Raw genomic sequence first — 20320 nt, 5'->3', positions numbered from 1 at the left:
CCCTGCTGATCGTGTCCAACTAATCTCCCAAATCCCAATCCCTTCTACAAAACACCAACTCCTTTCCTTCCTAGGCATGGTTAGTTCGGTCAGAATTCTTACACAAGAGCCAGGACCATGCCCTGTAGCCATTCTGTCCAAACAACTTGACATTAGTGTTTTAGCCTAGCCCTCATGTCTGCGTGCAGTGGCTGCTGCTGTCTTAATACTTTCACAGGCCCTCAAAATCACAAACTATGCTCAACTCACTCTCTACAGTTCTCATAACTTCCAAAATCTATTTTCTTCCTCACACCTGACGCATATATTTTCTGCCCCCGTCCACTACCCCTCAGCAAACTGAACTCATTGCCTTAACTTGAACCCTCACTCTTGCAAAGGGACTATGCGTCAATATTTATACTGACTCCAAATATGCCTTCCATATCCTGCACCACCATGCTGTTATACAGGCAGAAAGAGATTTTCTCACTATGCAAGGGTCCTCCATCATTAATGCCTCTTTAATAAAAACTCTTCTCAAAGCCACTTTACTTCCAAAGGAAGCTGGAGTCATTCACTGCAAGAGCCATCAAAAGGCATCAGATCCCATCGCTCAGGACAATGCCTATACTGATAAAGTAGCTAAAAAAAAAAGCAGCTAGTATTCCAACTTCTATCCCTCATGGCAGTTTTTCTCCTTCTCATCTGGCCACTCCCACCTACTCCCCCACTAAAACTTCCATCTATCAATCTCATCCCACACAAGGCAAATGGTTCTTAGACCAAGGAAAATATCTCCTTCCAGCCTCACAGGCCCATTCTATTCTGTCATCATTTCATAACCTCTTCCATGTAGGTTACAAGCCACTAGCCCGCCTCTTAGAACCTCTCATTTCCTTTCCATCATGGAAATCTGTTCTTAAGGAAATCACTTCTTAGTGTTCCATCTGCTATTCTCCTACTCCTCAGGGATTGTTCAGGCCCCCCACCTTCCCTACACATCAAGCTCGGGGATTTTCCCCTGCCCAGGACTGGCAAATTGACTTTACTCACATGCCTCCAGTCAGGAAACTAAAATACCTCTGGGTCTGGGAAGACACTTTCACAAGATGCTAGAGGCCTTTCCCACAGGGTCTGAGAAGGCCACCACAGTCATTTCTTCCCTTCTGTCAGACATAATTCCTCGGATTGGCCTTCCCACCTCTATACAGTCTGGTAATGAACCGGCCTTTACTAGGTCAAATCACCCAAGCAGTTTCTCAGGCTCTTGGTATTCAGTGGAACCTTCATATCCCTTACCGTCCTCCATCTTCAGGAAAGGTAGAACGGACAAATGGTCTTTTAAAAACACAACTCACTAAGCTCAGCCTCCAACTTAAAAAAAAGACTCTGTCAAGAATAGAGCCAAAAACTCACCAACCAAGCAACTAATTACACTGAACCCCCTTGGACACTCTCTAATTGGATGTCCTGGGTCCTCCCAATTCTTAGTCCTTTAATACCTGTTTTTCTCCTCCTCTTATTCTGTTTACGTTTTCAATTCATACAAAACCACATCCAGGCCATCACCAATAATTCTACATGACAAATGTTTCTTCTAACAACCCCACACTATCACCCCTTACCACAAAATCTTCCTTCAGCTTAATCTCTCCCACTTTAGGTTCCCACGCTGCCCCAAATCTCGCTCGAAGCAGCCCTGAGAAACATCGCCCATTATCTCTCCATACCACCCTCCAAAATTTTCGCCACCCCAACACTTTACCACTATTTTGTTTTATTTTTTCTTATTACTATAAGAAGATAGGAATGTCAGGGCCTCTGAGCCCAAGCTAAGCCATCGTATCCCCTGTGACCTGCATGTATACATCCAGATGGCCTGAAGTAGCTGAAGAATGACAAAAGTGAAAATGGCCAGTCCCTGCCTTAACTGATGACATTACCTTGTGAAATTCCTTCTCCTGGCTCATCCCGGCTCAAAAGACCCCCTGCTGAGCACCTTGTGACCACCCCCCCAACCCCTGCCCACCAGAGAACAAACCCCCTTTGACTGTAATTTTCCTTTACCTACCCAAATCTTATAAAACGGCCCCACCCCTATCTCCCTTCACTGACTCTCTTTTCGGACTCCGCCTGCCTGCACCCAGGTGAAATAAACAGCCTTGTTGCTCACACAAAGCCTGTTTGGTGGTCTATTGACAGGCATACGAGTGAAACTGCTCTAACATATGCCTCTATTCCTCCTACTGTCAGTAGCATTGGAGTTCCCTAGACCTCATTTATGCTATGGATACTAACGTGCCTTTATCCATGAAACAGGAAGCTTGGGGTTGGCTTAATCAGCAGGAATCAGCCACACTCACCTGCGCTGTGCCTTTTAACCTCTATTGCTGTCTACTTCTGGATCCCTTAAATCCAGTTTTCTTTCTAGATCTTTAACCCAAAGCTTGGAATTGGATCTGGGACAAAAATGTGTCTCTGGGGGTGTTGCATGGACTCCTTATCATAAGCTAAATGCTAAGGTGAAGCTGTGGAACTGATTCCTCCTCCAACAAGGGAGAGGAAAGGGGATGTCTTGTGGCACACCCTGCTAGCTGGCAGCTATAGTTATGCTTGCTAGGATTTGGGTGTATGGCGCTTGACTTTGGTTAGTTCCCTTGGTCTTACTTTCCCCAAAAGGAAACCTTCACATCATGGGAACCCTATTTATTCCAACACCTGGCAGGATTTGCAGAATAATTGCTCAGAACTAAAATACTGATCCAGATTTCCACATTACCCATCCCTTTCATTCTTTCTGAGCTGCAGCCAGAAATTACTGGTAGGTTCACAGGAACAAGCAGGGTTAGTCTAAACGGTAGGCAAAAACTTAAAAACAACTTGTGAGTTTAGAATTTAATGACAAATATATAAGTTTTGAAACATAATTTCTCTCTCTCCAGTCCTCATTTTTGTTAAGAAACAAATGATCATAGGACCGAGTTATTTAAATAGACTTTAGTCTTATACTTGGCCTGATTATTTGCATAAAATGCAGCAAGAATAATTATTTCTACATAGGCCTTTTGGATTGGCTTTGATGGAAGTGTGATCCACGAGGAATCACAGATAAGACCTTTTAAAGCCCAGCCCAGCCATGGGTTTGTATCCTCAAATACCTGCGAGTTGGGTGATCCTCCCTCTTAAGGTCCCAAGATAAACTTGGAGCTCCTGGACCTGCTAGAAAGTGACATTCTTTACTGACCACAGGTCAGGAACCCTGTACAGGGACTGCATAGACAAGGGTATGAGGCCAGTTTCCCCATGGGCCTTTTATTGGCTCTGCAAGTCGCGCTTGACTCCTTAAAGGGAAGCATACCCTTCTAGTCAAAGCCTTAGTAAAATAACTACTTTCTCCACTTGTGTCCTTTTGCAAAAGAAAAATGGATTCTTATTGCACTGATGCAAACAACTATACTGCCTTAAGAATACTCATAGTTACCAAATTCTAGAGGAACCAGGCAGAGAGAAACAAACATGCTCCAAATTTTGATCACAGGAGTATATACCTTAATTATTAAAGGCTGTAAACAGTTCAAAATAAGTTTCCTTGACTCTGAAAAACAAAACATGGATCAGCAATATTCCAACCAAAAGTCAAAAAGGTTGCTTCAGCTTTCTGAGTTCAGTCTATATTTAGTGAACTATTGTTTTGTTTGCTTGCTATTCATGAGCATTTCAGCTCTTTATGAGTCCTGTACATTTTCTTTTATTCCAATGTTACAATCTCTAAAGTTATCAGAAGCCTACATTTGAGAGCACCTGTTAAAGTTCTATACCTCATTATAAACCATCTTTTGAAAAGGATTAAAACAAGACAATTGTTGGTGAATAGCAAATGTCCAAGGTAGTTACAGTTAGAAACACAATTGACAAAGAAGTTTGGTTATCTCTGTAGTTTACAATAACTTAACATAACAACCTTAATCGTGATTGATAGCATATACTCAGACATTAGAATTCTAGAAATCCCATACAATCTTGGAATATATATTAGCACTATTTACCAAAAATATAACCTAAAGATTGAACATCATTTTGGCAATCCCATGTACCTGTCAAATAATCCCATTTACCTCTCTTTTCTGGATATTTCAGGGGCCCTCTGAAGTATTCGAAAAGCCAGGTGCCAGGGAAGACAATTTTGAAACTGAAGTTTGATTTCGGGAAAGCTGTTAAATGTTCAAGGTTTAAAACACTTGATATTATGAAGTAGAGTTCCAGATTACATGAAATAGAGTTCCAGATTACCATAAATTATTTATTTTGCCAAAATGATGACTTAGAAATGTAAAGAAGCAAAAACCTTTTACAACCCCTGTGAATTTAATGTGTTCACACAAAGAACCTCTTCTGCAAGATTAATTTCCAAAATTCTTCCACCACTTCATTGAACCTTCAACTTTTTCCTAATTTAAATCAAAACAATCCTTTAACCCTAGGCAAAAGTTTGCATTTCCATGCCTTCTTATACCCTTTTACTAAAAAACACATTTTACTTTTCTTACACACCTTGCATGTAAATCTACTTTCAGTAGTCTCAATTATATGTTACAATGGTAACTCCTAGCAATTTTTAACTTTAAGGTAAAACTTTGTAGGTTGCTTTGTGTGCTAACTGCAACCAAGGTTTGCCTTCTTAATTAAGGGCGTGGTTAGTTCCATACATCCCCAGGCCATACCAGTTGTGAAGCCGGCAAGTCAAATAGTTCTCAAAACCCAAAAAGCTGTTTGTAACCTCACAACACTTAGCAAACCTTGCATCTGACCTGCATTTTACCAATATTTCTTTAGGGCTGTTTTTATTTCTCAAAGATTAAAGTCACATGAACCGAAAGGTACCACAGCTTTTCACTTCCCATTAAAAAAAACTAAATTCAAGCACTTGTCCTTCTTTAGGCCAAATTAATTAGAACTCTTTTAACAGACGTCATATACAAACACACATATAACTACATGGACAGGCAGGAGAAAACCCAGTCCCCGGATGGGGTTCTTCATGAGACAGGGCTGGGAGAACAGGCAGATATTAAACCAGGGAGAAACTTACTCCCTAAGGCAGGATTGCGAAACAAAGCTTTGCTAAGCGGTTATGGCCATGCCCCCAGGATGTAAAAAAAGATGGAGGCGTGATTTCACAACCAAATCTTTGCAGAAAATATAAACAGTGGTAGTTGTGGGGCCTGGCCTAGTAAAAACATCCTCTAAAAGGAAAAAAAAAAAAAAATTAAAAGTTAGCTGCTGTCAAGGTGGAGAAGAGGAAAGAAAAAAAAAAAGTTTAAAAACGCCTGGGGAGAAACCTCTTCTTATGCAAGTGCTTCCTCTACCAGGGAGATTAGTTCAATTACTGAAAGATGGAGTAAAACCCCTTGGCTGGGGAAGGGAAAGGCTGCAGCAGTTGCGGCTGGCAACCAGCCAGCCCGCTGTGCGGACCCTGGGCCTATGCCTCCCTGCCTGGCAGGGAGAGGACAGGGGAGCGAGGAGGGCCGCCCCCGCCCAACCCATCGCCTGTCGGTCCCCAAAAAAGAAGGGAAGGGCCTTTCCCTTGACCCCTGGGAGCGACAGGGTTTGGGGGCCTTTCTCCCACATTCAGAAGTCCAAGGATGAACATGCTTAGGAGCAACAGTGAGAGGTTTTGAATCCCCATTTCACTCACCTCCTCTCCAGCCCCCACTCTGCGTGCCAAAAATGTTGCAGGACTTTTCCTTGGTTTAGCAAAGATGGGGTTCTTGTCTGTCCCACGGCCATGAAAATTTAGGCTCATAGACAGTTTAAAGGGTGAGAAAAGCAGGGTTTTATTAGGTGAAAAGGGTTTAAAAAAAAAAAAGGAGGAAACAGGGATCCTCCATAAGGCCAGAGTCCCCTGGCTAGAGCACTTCCGGCCCACCCTTTGAATCCCAGGTTCCACAGGAAGAGGCAGGGCCAAGCTCCTCCCCGCTGCAAACGGTACGACTTCTGGAGGCTCCACCGCATTGGCAGGCTGGTTGGAGTTTCTCCAGGGGACCCCCTCCAACCTGACTGCCTCAAAGAAAGGGTGGAAGCTGCCATGCTGGCCTGTACATGGTATTTGGACAAACTCAAGAGGGACCAAGATTCTGTTCCTCAGTATTATTTAATCAGATGAAGGAAAGCAAGGAATACAGAGACATGGGCTGTCACTATTACTAGATGCTCTCTAGAATGTTCTGAGAAACAAAGAGAACTGGAGAGGAGAGTAAGAGATCATATTAACATTTCTGCCTCATATTGGAGGCAAGTAGAGGAAAAGCAATTGCCAAAGGCACAGAAATAAAAGGAAATTTGGGTGGGAGTGCTAAAGAAGCTCAGGCTGTGTCAGGGAAGACGCTGCAGGATGGGTGGCAGGCAGGAAAATGTAAAACCATGAGAAGACAGTAGGCCCTTTCTGGGACTCTCTGAACTGTTGACAGAGCTGTCGTCCTCATTCATTTGAATATATTATTCACCTCTATATCACAGATTCTGTCCTAGAAGCTGAGCTAAAATGGAATGAAACATTAAAAATCCAATTGGTAAAACTGCCACAAGGGAGTCTGCTAACCACTTGGCTGGAGATGAGGCTTGGCTGTGATAGCTTCAAAACTTCGGCAATCCTTCAGCTTCTGTCTAGACAGAAAGAAGTCCCCTTTCTCCGCAGTTTTGTTTCCTGTGGTCTCATTTATCCAGTCAACCATAGTCCAAAAAGAGGTGAATACACTACAAGAAGATATTTTGTGAGTGAGACCACATTTATATAACTGTTATTAAAGTATTATGTTACAATTCTTCCATTTTGTAATTAGGTATTGTTGTGAACCTCCTGCAGTGCCTAATTTATAAATTAACCTTATCATAGTTATGTATGTATAGGAAAAAACAGAGTATATATGGGGTTCAATGCTATCCAGAGTTTCAGGCGTCCCCTGGGGAGTCTTGGAACATATCACCTATGGATAAGGGAGAACTATTGTATTACCTTGGTTGGGCTGTTATAACAGAATGCCATAGACTAGGTGGCTTATGAACAAGAGGAATTTATTTCTCATACTTCTGGAGGCTACAAAGTCCAAGACTAAGGTGCCAGCAGCTTCAGCGTCTCTGTCAAGGGTCCGCTTCCTTATGTAGTTGTCTTGCTGACTCCTCACCCAGCATAGAGGAAGTAGCCACGGAGTTCCCTGGGATCTTTTTTATAAGGGCACTGATCTCATTCATGAGGGCTCTGACCTCATGACCTAATCACCTTTCAAAGGCATCAGCCAAATACCATCACACTGGAGATGAATTTAAGGGGGGACGTTCAGTTTATGGCATATATCCACTGATTTGTACAGGTTACAGCAAACTCAAGGGCAAGATCTTGAACCCTGTTCACGATCTGGGTTTAGACATATACTGATTGGTGCAAATGAGGGCAATGGAGGTTAGATTGCAGAAGAAACAATAAAATCCTGTAGAATAAAACCCACGATGAGAAAGGAGTTCTGCATAGCGGACCAGATACAAAACGAAGTCTGGAGTTGGATACATTTTGACCTACCCTCAGAGATTGTTTGTGTAAGCCGAGAAAAAAAAAAAAAAAAGCTATATGTGGTTGTGAAATAATAAAATGAAAGGCTGGGTGTGGTGGCTCATGCCTATAATCCCAGCACTTTGGGAGGCCGAGGTGGGCAGATCACCTGAGGTCAGGAGTTCAAGACCAGCCTGGCCAACATGGCGAAACCCGTCTCTACTAAAAATTAGCCAGGCGTGGTGGTGGGCGCCTGTAATCCTAGCTACTCAGGAGGCTGAGGCATGAGAATTGCTTAAACCTGGGAGGTGGAGGTTGAAGTGAGCCAAGTTCCTGCCACTGAACTCCAGCCTGGGGGATAGAGTGAGGCTCTGTCTCAAAAAAGAAAATGAGAATAGGAAGGTGAACTGACAGAATAAAGGCCCGAAAGCCCAAAACTATGGAAAAAATGTGAAGGAACTCTGTCAAGCACTGGTATCAGAACTCCTAAAGTTTGGGAGTTTAAGAGCAGGTAAGCACCACCATTCACGTGGCCAGAATGAAGTAGGAGGTGGGGCTCAGGGACCCGACCAAGTTGAGGACCAGCTAAAACAAGTGGGAGAGGAAGCACCTTCCCATAAAACATCCACCAGTGTGCCTTATCAGTTTATCATTTCCATGGCAACACCCAGAAGTTATAGCTCCTTTTCATGGCAAAAACCCAACAGCCCAGAAGTTACCCTTATTCTAGAAATTTCTGCATAAACCACTCCTTAATTTGCATATAATTAAAATTCGGTATAAATATGAGTGTGGAACTACATCTGAGCTGCCACTCTGGGCATGCTGCCTACCAGGTAGCCCTGCTCTGCAAGGAGCAGTACCTCTGCTGCCACCGCACTGCCGCTTCAGGAGAAGTTGTGGTTTAATACCACTGGCTCACCCTTGAATTATTTCCTGGGTGAAGCCAGGAACCTTCCTGAGCTAAGCATCATGAACACAGCAGTGGTGATCTGCTGCCACAGTACCAGAAGCATCACCGGGTCACACTGAGCAGCAACAGAGCTCAGGAATTGCAGGGTGCAGGGAATGGCACATAATAGAGAAAGAAGAAACGGAGAATCTGTCAAGTTGGAGTTATTGATAAAAACCTTAAATTGGCTGGGCACGGTGGCTCATGCCTGTAATCCCAGCACTTTGGGAGGCTGAGGCGGTCACATCACGAGGTCAGGAGATCGAGACCATCCTGGTAAACATGGTGAAACCCCATCTCTACTAAAAATACAAAAAATTAGCCAGGCGTGGTGGCGGGCGCCTGTAGTCCCAGCTACTCGGGAGGGTGAGGCAGGAGATTGGCGTGAACCCGGGAGGCAGAGCTTGCAGTGAGCCGAGATCACACCACTGCACTCCAGGCTGGGCAACAGAGGGAGACTCCATCTCAAAAAAAAAAAAATCGTTAAATTGACTTTACCTACAAATCACAGTGTTGCGGCCTAAGGGCAGTTTGTATATGGCGATACCATGTGTTGTTAGAACACGTCAGGGAATGTATTAGTCTTCTAGGACTGCCATAAGGAAATACCACAAACTGGATGGCTTAAAGCTATAGAAATTTATTTTTTCACAGATCTGGAGGTTAGAAGTTCAGAATCAAGATGCCCTCAGCCTTCTCACTGTGTACTCACGTGCCCTTTCCGCCATGTGAGCACGGAAAGAGAGGAATCTCTAGTGTCCCTTCCTCCTCTTATATGAACACCCATCCTATTGGATTAGGGCCCCACCTTGGTGACCTCATTTAATTTTAAATGCCTCCTTAAAACTCCTATCTCTGGCCGGTGGCAGTGGCTCACGCCTGTAATCCCAGCACTTTGGGAGGCCAGGGTGGGAGGATCACTGGGTCAGGAGTTCAAGACCTGTCTGGCCAACATAGTGAAACCCCATCTCTACTAAAAATACAAGAAATTAGCCAGGTGTGGTGGTGCACGCCTGCAGTCCCAGATACTCGGGAGGCTGAGGCAGGAGAATTGCGTGAACCAGGCAGGCAGAGGTTGCAGTGAGCTGAGATGGCACCATTGCACTCCAGCCCAGGCGATGGTGCAAGACTCCATCTCAAACAAAAAAAAGTCCTATCTCCACATTGGTGGTTAGAGCTTCAACATATGAATTTGGTGGAGACACAATTCAGTTTATAACAGGGAGCCACAATGGACCTTCATGAATGAACCTAAGAAATGAAAAATGCTCCAGAGTTCTACTTTGTCCCTACCCGAAGGCTAAAGATAATCATCCATCTTCAAGGGATTGCACATGACCTGTAAATAAGAAAGGCTTATTGCATTTCTTATCTGGTAAGAAGCCCATTCCTGTCTCTCAAGGTTTCCAAAAAATGGTCTTGATTCACTCTGTAGTCAAATGAATATTTAACTAAAAGTATTTATCACTTACATTTACTCTTTGTTTATCCAGACTATAATTTCTTTTCTGTGACAAGTTTTGCAAAGTATGACCAAGTATCTTTTTGAAAATATAGATGAAAAGAATTGAAGCAGTGTGTAAATTCTGGCCATCATGAATTTTCTTTGATTTTAAGAAAGTTTTTTCCCATCTCAGGCTCAAGCTATTACTGTCTTCTGTATCTAGTCCTTCAGAAGGCATAGAAATAAAACTATGATCACTTGCGTCCAGGAGGTCGAGGCTGCGGTGAGTTGTTATTGTGCCACTGCACTCCAGCCTAGGCAACAGGGAGAGACCCTGTCTCAAAAAAAAGAAAAAAAAAGAAAAAGAAAGAAAGAAAAATATGAGTGTGAAATTGGTATATTGCACTGTGAGCTCATATAAATATGACTTTTCAATGAATTTTTTTTCAAGAGAAAAAGGAAAACCAAAAATGCACCAAAATTTCAGTATCCTAATTGATTTTTCTCTAAGAATAAGTCAAAGAGCAAAAAAGATTTGATTCTAGGCCAGGCGTGGTGGCTCACGCCTGTAATCCCAGCACTTTGGGAGGCTAAGGCAGGCGGATCACAAGGTCAGGAGATCGAGACCATCCTGGCTAACACAGTGAAATCCCATCTCTACTTAAAATACAAAAAAAGTAGCTGAGCATAGTGGCGGGCGCCTGTAGTCCCAGCTACTCGGGAGGCTGAGGCAGGAGAATGGCGTGAACCCAGGAGGCGGAGCTTGCAGTGAGCCGAGATCACGCCACTGCACTCCAGCCTGGGTGACCGAGCGAGACTCCGTCTCAGAAAAAAAAAAAGATTTTATTCTACTAGATGCCAAAAACCTGTGTTAAGTATGGCTCAAAGTACTGCCTTACCTCATACTAGAGGAATATTAAATATTCTTGATTTGTTCCTTTAGTAGCTGGCTATGATTTGTGAATGGTATGTCATTTAGATTTGGTTTTAAGCAACATAAACCAATTCTGACTTAAGCAAAAAGAGAATCTTATAGATCATAGGGAACAAATAACAAAATTAAAGGTAAGTTTCTGAGTAGCTAAGTTCTGGAGCTCCAGGAGCATGATCCAATAGCCACTCTCTTATAGGATGCCACTGCTGGGGTGAATCATAACTGCAATATCCAAACTTCCTCTAGAAAGAGTCAGATTAGCAAAACTTCACTGAGGTGCCCATTTGATTAACAATTTTACCAACACTGCACATGATGGGGAAGTGATTGTTTTTCAAAGAAAGTATGGGATGTTGCTGGAAAAACAAACGGGACACTGGACAGGAGAAAGCAATAGATCTCCACCAGGAGCAACCACCTGAATACCGACTTTGAAAAGCTGAGAGTATTAATATTAGCACTGACAATAGAAAAATATGACCTTGCCTTTCTTTCCCACAAATCCCCTCCACAGAGATCGTCTACCTCTGAATACATTGTAAGAAAACCCAGAAATAAGGATGATATGTAATGGCAATGAGCATGTGCCTAGCTAGCTGCATTTAAATATTGGTTCAGTATTTGCTGACTTTGAAGGATTTGCCTGCCTTTTTCCTGATTGGGTACTGCTGCCACTGCTATTTTGTCACCTTTCTGAATTTCGGTATGATCTTCATTATTCATCTGCCCACAGACCTTCTCACCAGCTCAGGTGTCTCAACAATGCCAGACCCACATCAAAGGTTACTTAGCTTTAGTGTCCAGTGAATCAGCCAACTTAGTAAATGTGGAAATAAGCAGATTACCTGAGGTCAGGAATTCGAGACTTGCCTGGCCAACATGGTGAAACCCCATCTGTACTAAAAATACAAAAATCAACCAGGCGTGGTGGCAGGCGCCTGTAATCCCAGCTACTCCGGAGGCTGAGGCAGGAGAATTGCTTGAACCCGGGAGGTGGAGGTTGCAATGAGCCAAGATCACACCATTGCACTCCAGCCTGGGTGATAACAGTGAAACTCCATTTCAAAAATTAAATAAATAAATAAACTCCAACCTGACTATCCTCTAATCTCTGATGTCCAGGCCCTGTAACCTTAGCTATCATCATGAGACATCATGTTGGTCTTACTATATAAATCTCAGCAAAAACATTGTTATGATGCAATCAAGAAAAGTCTAGGTACAAACTAAGCAGCCTTTCAACTATGTTTGGGCATTCTGAAGGCTAGCCTGTTTTTCAAATGGCTCTCTTAAAGACCAAATGGGGAAAAGCCAAGAGCTCCGGGCAATACTTCAAAAGTCAACAGCTGCTGTGCACTCCCAGGCAATCCCAATTTGCCACTTGGCTGCTTGCTGATGAGCTGCTTGTATGAGTATTTGATAGCACCATAGTGTATTTCCCAGTTCACCCATTGACTTGTCAAGCTTTGGGCAGGTATCTGGTATCCCAGAAGTTTGGCTTCCCTGCAAAACAGCTTGTTATAAGGGAAAGAGTATTTGATTGGAAGTCAAGAGTCCAGTTTCAGGTCTGAACTGCTCCTAATTACATACATAGTATCGGGCAAGTCACTAAATGTCTTTGGGCCTTGGCTTTTGGAGTTTTGTTGTTATTAACATTTTATAATGTGACTTTCAAATGTACAAAGGTAGAAAGAATAGAATAGCTCATTCGATTACTTATTGTCTAGTTTCAACAATTATCAACTTGTGGTCAATTTTTATTATGCTGTAACTCAACTTCTGGGTTATTATAAAATAAGTCACAGTTCATATCATTATATCCATAAATATTTCATAGTATATTACTGAAAGATTAGGACTACTTTGCTTTTAAAAAGCCAAAATAACATTAAATACTAAAAAATTAACAATAATTATTATTTTCACATATCCAGTGTTGAAATTTCCCTGTCAAATTTTCAAAATACTTTTTGAATAAAATCTAAAAGATGTCCGTAACATTTAATTGTTAAAAATGTCTCTTAAGACTCCTGTAAACTATAGATTCCCTCTTTCTCTTCTGCTCTCACTCTCTCTTATTCTTTCTTCACCCCTTCCCCTCTTCTCTCCTTCAGTTCATTTGAGGAGAAGAGCCTAGGTCATTTGTCAATAGAGTTTCTCAGTCTGGACTTTTCTAATTGCTTCCTTGTAATGATATTGAATATATTCCTCTGTCTCTTGTACTTTCTATAGTTAGATCTAGAAGCTTGATCATTTCAGGTATTAAATTTTTGTAAGAATGCTTCTTAGGTGGTATTGTGTACTTCCGTTATGATGCATTTAATGTCTAGTTATTTCTCCTTTTGAGTTGTTAGCTGCCATTGATAATCATTGTCTAGATCCATTATTTTCATTAGTGGAAACCTCTTCAATTAGGCTACTTAGTCCCTGCAACATGACCCCTAAAGTCTTCAATAACTTTCTTCATTTCTGGAATGATAAAATCTTTGTACAGTTCCCCAAATCTGCATTTTTCCAAGGAATCCTGCTTTAGACATGGTTTTTACATATTCAAAATGAGAATTTATTTCTAATTTTCCTTATTAAAAATTGTGAATATATGCAAAAGTAAAGAAAATGGCATAATGAACTACTTATTATCTATGCATCACCCAGCTTCAACAATTAAAACCTCAAGTAAATTTTGTTTTATCTATATTCACAGCTACTTTTCATCCACCACTGTACCATTTCCCACTGAATTATTTCATGCGAATCTCAGATATCATATTATTTCATCTCAAGATATTTTGATGTATATCTGAAAGATCAGTACCATTTTCTTTAAATATAACCACAATTCCATTATCATACCTAGATAAATTAACAGTTCCTTAATATCATCAAATATCCAAGACAGTATTCAAATTTTCCTGATATTTGTTAAACGAAGTAAGTCTTTAGACCTGTAGAATTTCCACGATCTAGATTTTGTTAATTGCATATTCACAGTGTTGCTTAACATGCTCCTCTGTCCCTAGTTTAATTATACAGCTCTCAGCAACACTAATTCTTATGATGCAATCAAGAAAGTTAGTAGTTAGATCTGGAGTTCAATCAGATTCAGGATTTTTTCTTTTTTTTTTTTTCTACAATAACACTTGTTAGATGGTATGTACTTGAATTAGGAGGCCATAGTATCTGGCTATCTCTGTTTTGTAAAATTAGCAGTCATTAATCATCAATGCCTAGGCCTATGTTTGTATTATGAGTTGCAAAACAGTAATGCTGTAGTTATATCATTTCTTCTTCACTTCTTAACTAAATGTGTTTATAAAGAAAAATGTCCCGGGCCGGGTGCAGTGGCTTGTGCCTGTAATCCCAGCGCTTTGAGAGGCTGAGGAGAGAGGATCGCTCTCAGCACTTTGAGAGGCTGAGGAGAGAGAATTTAGGAGTTTGAGACCAGCTGAGGCAACATGGCAAAACACTTTCTCTAAAAAAAAATTAAAAATTAGCTGGACATGGTGGCGCGTGCCTGTAGTCGCAGCTACTTGGGAGGCCGAGGTGGGAGGATTGCTTGAGCCCAGGGGGCAGAGGTTGCAGACAAGATTGAGCCACTGCACTCCCATTGTGGGTGACAGAGTGAGACCTGTCTTTAAGAAAAAAGAAAGAGAAGTGCCCCTTTGCTAACTACTGGATTGCCCTGAGGTACAAGTCATTTTGGAAAGACAGGATATATCCCTGCATTTTTACAAATTTTCAAAATAGTGAGTTGCTTCCTCAGCATCCTTCAAAATGGAGCAATGAGGTTACTTTCTTTTTCTTTCTCTATTTTTTTTTAAATTTAGAGATGGGGTCTTGCTTTGTTGCCCAGTCTGACATGAGACTCCTGGCCTCAGGTGACCCTTCCACTTCAGGCTCCCAAAGTTGTGAGATTACAGGCATGAGCCACTGAGTCCAGCCTTTTTTGTTATATACTGTTATGAACTCCTGATTTTAAGTATATTTGATATGATCAAGCTATTGATTGAAAACTTGATGCTAACATTATCCTAATTTGGACAGGGACAGCATCTTTAGTTACGCCCCCAGGCCCTTTAGACCTAACCAGTAGTCTTTAGTAACTACCTAGATTTCTTGATATGATAAGTTGTTCCTGGTACATAGTGTACATTTTTTTTGCCCCGAAAAAGAATCAACCACTTGCCAAAGAAAGTAAAAATAACAGGTTTGATAAACACAAAAGTCTCTCCTAGCTGTAAAACAAATTGGTTTTATGATGATTCTTCATTTAGCAAACATTTTTATTGTATATAATTTTAAAGTAAAATACCTTATAGGACCTTGTCACTGTTTTTCAATTAACAAGCAGTTTTCACAACAAGGAACAGAGGAGACTTTTAACTCAGAATCTGCATTTTTTTTTTTTTTTTTTTTTTTTTTTTTTTTGGAGAAGGAGTCTCACTCTGTCTCCCAGGCTGGAGTGCAGTGGTGCAATCTCAGCTCACTGCAACCTCTGCCTCCCGGGTTCAAGCAATTCTTCTGTCTCTGCCTCCCGAGTAGCTGGAATTATAGGCACGCGCCACCATGCCCGGATAATTTTTGTATTTTTAGCAGAGACGAGGTTTCACTATGTTGGCTAGGCTGGTCTCAAACTCCTGACCTCAAGTGATCCACCTGCCTCGGCCTCCCAAAGTGCTGGGATTACAGGCATGAGCCACTGTGCCCAGCCCAGAATCTGCATTTTAATACTTGCTAGTCTTTTTGCCAGACCAAGGCCGCTGAATTCACAATACTGAGTTCTCATTTTGTACTTTAAGTTTGTGCAAGTCCCTAAGGTCATCTCATTGCAAGGTAATATATCTCAGAAAATATTTATGTCATTGAAATAATTCCAAAAAAACAGTAGAGCAGATCCCAGAATTTAAAATTAATCACCAAACTTAAACTTAAGAAAATGTATCATTCACAATAGTCTAGGTTATGCAACAATAGCAAACTACGGCAAAGCCCCAGTGGCTTCAAACAACAAAGGTGTACTTCTTGTTTATTACTAGCCTGCTGAGATTTCTTGGGGGTGCGGTCCTCTACCTGTGAGCTCAGCATCTCAGGCCACTTCCACATCACTGCACCTCCACATCAACACAAGCCTCCATAACTGAAATGGCAGAGGAAGAAAGAAATTGAGGGTTGAGCATTAGGAAGTAAATACTCTGACGCCAAGTGATGCTCATATATGATTGGCTAAAGCAAGATAGATAGCCATGCCTACATTTAAGGGAGCACATCTTCCATTGGACATTTGAACTAGATACATTGGTTAAGATTTGTAAAGTCTACCACAAAAATATTTCAGAAACTACATGAAGAGAGAAAGAAACTGATGTAGAAAGTGGAGACAAAGCAAGTTAAATCACGAGCAGTTTTGCTGCCATACAGAGTTTGAAGACATACTTTTAGGATGGACTTTATCAGAGAGACACTTTTATCCTGAGTGCTTTCTAATTCTGGCAATAATCTTTTGCTTTAAAGCCATTTCACCTTAATTCTTAAAAAAAAATAAATAAATAAAACAAGCAAATAGATGAAGGGTATTAAGTAGGTGTTAGTGTGTTCGCTTTAAGAGTATATGTGGGCGCCAGCGAACACTGCTACTGAAAAGTGTCTCTGCACAAGTGAAACTGAAAACTGTTAAGTTTAGCCCAGGCCAGGTGCAGTGACTCACACCAGTAATCCCAACACTTTGAGAGGCCAAGGCCGGGTGAACTGCTTGAGCTCATGAGTTTGACATCAGCCTGGACAACAGGAGAAACCCCATCTCTACAAAAAATATTATACAAAAATTAGCCGGGTTTGGTGGCACACACCTGTAGTCCCAGCTACTCAGGAGGCTGGGGTGGGAGGATCACCTGGGCCTGGAAAGCTGAGGCTGCGGGGAGCCGTGATCACACCACTGCCTCCTAGCCCAGGTGACAGAGTAAAACTCTGTCTCAAAAAAAAAAAAAAAAAAAGTTTAACCCAAAGCTGCCTCCTTACATATTTTAAGTTTGGTCTAGAGGTTTCTCCATACTGCAGTGAGCTGTAACCTAGCTGGATGTGTAAACGGACTGCAACCTACTCTTGTAACAAGTAGCCAAGTCACAGCCAATCACAGAAGCGCTACTTTAACCACACACAAGCAGCCAACTTTTCAGTGTTCAAGTAAAGCAAACGCCAAGCTGTAACCAATCAGGGTGTTTCTGTACCTCACTTCCATTTTCTCTACTTCACTTTCCTTTTTCTGTCCACAAATCCTCTCTGATCACATGGCAGGAGGGAAATCACTCTGAATTTATTCTGGTGGGTGAGGGGAGGATGTGGCATGTGTTGCCCAATTCATAAATTGTTCTTTGCTCAATTCACCTCTGTTAAACTTAATTTGTCTGAAGTTTACAGAGTTTGAGCAAAGAACAATTTAACAAAACATATAAATTTACTTGTTAAAAAAAGCAAAGCCAATAATATGTAGCTCTTCTACACAGTCTGGAAAAGACAGAAACCTCCTGTATTAGTTTCCTGTGGCTGCTGTAACAAATTAGCACCAACTTGGTGGCTTAAAATGGAAGAAATGTATTTTCTCACAGTTTTTTGGCCGGAAGTCCAAATTCAGGGCCAGCCATCGTGGCTCATGCTTGTAATCCCAGCACTTTGGGAGGCCAAGGGAGAAGGATCACTTGAGGCTAGGAGTTTGAGACCAGACTGGGCAACATAGCGAGACCCCATCTCTAAACAGAAAAAGAACAAAACAGTTAAAAACAAAACAAAAAAACTAAATCAGTGTGTAGGCAGAGGCTCTAGGGGAGATTCTGTTCCTCACCTCTTCCAGCTTCTGATGGCAGTCAGAAGCTTGTGACTGGATCACTCATCTTTGCCTCTGTCTTCACTTGGCTTCCTCCTGTACATCTGTCTCCTCTATGCATCTCTTACAAAGATCTGTCATTGCATTTGGAAGCTACTTGAATAATCCAAGATAAGCTCCTCTTCTGAAGAAACATAATTATATCTCCAAAGACCCTTTTTCTGGATAAGGCAATATTCATAGGCTCTGCAGGTTGAGAGGTAGACATATCTTTTGGGAATGGGGGCAAAGGAGAAGGGTCACCAATTAACCATCTCCACAAGAGACATAACTCAAGAAGAAAGCATAAATGGGATTGGTATTTCTGTTTTTGGAATTTTAGATTTAGAAGTTTAATATCTATTTTCTGAGATAAAAATCAGAGTAAGCAAAAAAGAAGAAAGCATAATCACTGACAAGAAGGCAGGGCAAAAGCAACACCTTCTGACTCTGAAGTGCTGAAGGTTGAAGGTAGGTCCAGACAAATCCGTAAGACTGTCTTTAGTGCTCCTTTCCCCGACTTTAGTAATAAAAAAGCTAATTACACAAAAACTTTAAGTCATTAGGAAGCTCAATTGTGGAGCTGATTCTGTTTAAATCAAGCCTGAATGAGTAAAAGTTAGTTTTATAATTTTGGAGGATTTCAAAGTAAAAGAAAGGTATTCAAGAAAATGTGTTTAAGTAGCGCATCTCCATTCTCAGTGATTTTGGACAAAATGATGTGTGGCTGTAACTTCCTTTATGGTTAAATTGTAAGATATTATGTATTACAACATGATCGAATATATGCCATTTCAAACCATGCCCAAGATAAATGACCCATATTTCAAGTTAAGCTTTTTACATTTGAAAAGAAGACAACAACCTTGGACCATTACTGAATCCCGGAGCAGAAAGACTGATGTAGCACATATTCTAAATATCATTTGAGTTGAAGGCAATGAAATTTGTTATATTCTATGATATTTGAGAACGTATGTGAGCTTTTTAAATGTGCTCCATGGTTCAGTACTATTAAGTCCTGATACATCCAGTTGATGCATCGCGTCATCAACCTGCCAGCAAGCCCTTGGAGAGCCATTTGTCCCTGGATCCAAATCAAGTATGTACCCTGACTGCTAAAAAATATTTTGTTAGACTAAATGACTGAGCTATCTTTACGGGCCTGCCAAATGAATTATGACAAAGGTTGACCACTTTGGGCCCTCAGGCAGTATTACCAAAAGAAAAAGAAAAAAAATCTGTTCTTCCTAGTTGCTGGTCTTCTCCAGAACAAATGCCTCATTCTTTCTTTTATGAATCTTAGTTGAGGTTCAAGGTTCTTGCACTTTTTTATCTTGGAACTTAACAACGTACAGATGTCATTTATCCTGTACATTGTGTCAAGAGACATATTTTAAAGTTGGTATATAATGTGATTTCTCTGATTCCTGAATCTAAAGGAAGTTGAGGCATAACGGAAAGAGGACAGGTGTTGGAGCTCGACTTACCTGGGTTCAAATTCCAGCATTACTACTTAGTGGGCTCCACATCTTTTTAAGTGGGATAATAGTATCTACCAATGGGATTGCTGTTATGGTAAATGGTGATTAAGTGCCTAACAAACTGTAGGCACTTATACAAAGGCGGCTTTTGTTATTACCTGACAACAACAGGCTTTCTCTAAAATTGCTAACTAAAGATTTGCAAAGATAAATATACTAACTTTGAATATGTATAAAATAACAGGGAGCAGTTGGGCCTATGGCCAACGGAAAAATACATAATGTACCTGAAGGCATTCAAAAACAAAAAACAGCAAAACAATTACAAATAACAGTAACAACAACAACAAACCCACTGTGCCTACCTGACCAAACCATTGGTCTCTAAACATTCAAATTCAAACACTGTATAATTTAAGAAAGGTCATTAGAAATTAATTTGCCTTTCAGCAAATTTATGTACCAGACAGGCAAAAGGCTTTTACATTTTTTAACAAATAGTTTTCAAACTCATTTTAAGTTTCCCCTTGTTCCTCTGACCAACACATCCTAACTTTGTTTTACTGCTCCCATGCCGATTCAGAGATCTTGAACGTTCAGACAACCACAAGAAGGGTATTCAGTTTCTCTGTCTGACTACCTGAATTCCCGGGAAAGCCAACAGAAATAGAACAGAATGGAGTTACAGAGGATGTTTCATTTCCTTCAGGCTTCTGCCACATTTCTATGATTTTCTTCACGGTAGAGGCCCATGGAACTATGTAAATAGCTATGACTTCTCTAAGGAAAAGACTGAATTTTTAGTTGTATTACATTTCCTTGTATTTTATTATTGTTCTACATTGTGTTTCAGGAAAGTTTTGGAAAATACAAAGATTTTACCCATGGGAGGGAAACTGCTAAAAACAATTACCTGGGTTTGGAGCTTTTTTTCAAAAAAGGTTTTCCTTTCGCAACTATTTGGGAGTTTACTTCCTTGCAAAAGATGCGTTTTCTGAAAATTTTCCATTGGCAGCGGGCCAATGCCATAATTACTTTCAATTAAACCCTCAAGTGTTTCCCTTTCTCTTTGTTATCACCACAAACAATTCCTTCCTCTGAGTGGCAGATTTAGTCTAACTCAGC

The 20320-nt window shown here is 41.1% G+C and overlaps 1 long non-coding RNA gene across 1 annotated transcript, besides 1 other annotated feature; it reads right to left on the bottom strand.

The window, feature by feature from the left end:
* Nucleotides 1–5979: 5979 nt before the first annotated feature.
* Nucleotides 5980–18030, bottom strand: LOC107986391 (uncharacterized). The gene is made up of 5 exons (XR_001742528.2): nucleotides 17691–18030; nucleotides 17456–17598; nucleotides 15926–15992; nucleotides 9950–10255; nucleotides 5980–6735 (listed from the first exon to the last, which is right to left on the bottom strand). It is a non-coding gene; the product is annotated as an uncharacterized LOC107986391 (long non-coding RNA).
* Nucleotides 15921–16040: an enhancer, noted in NCBI's record as "active region_23022". NCBI's record gives its function as "activates an Ori minimal core promoter by ATAC-STARR-seq in GM12878 lymphoblastoid cells {active_cell/tissue: GM12878}" and the evidence as "EXISTENCE:reporter gene assay evidence [ECO:0000049][PMID:35858748]".
* Nucleotides 18031–20320: the final 2290 nt, after the last annotated feature.

Source organism: Homo sapiens, chromosome 5 (genome assembly GCF_000001405.40).
Source record: "Homo sapiens chromosome 5, GRCh38.p14 Primary Assembly".
Lineage (NCBI taxonomy): Eukaryota > Metazoa > Chordata > Mammalia > Primates > Hominidae > Homo > Homo sapiens.
This window is presented reverse-complemented; position numbering and strand designations above follow the sequence as displayed.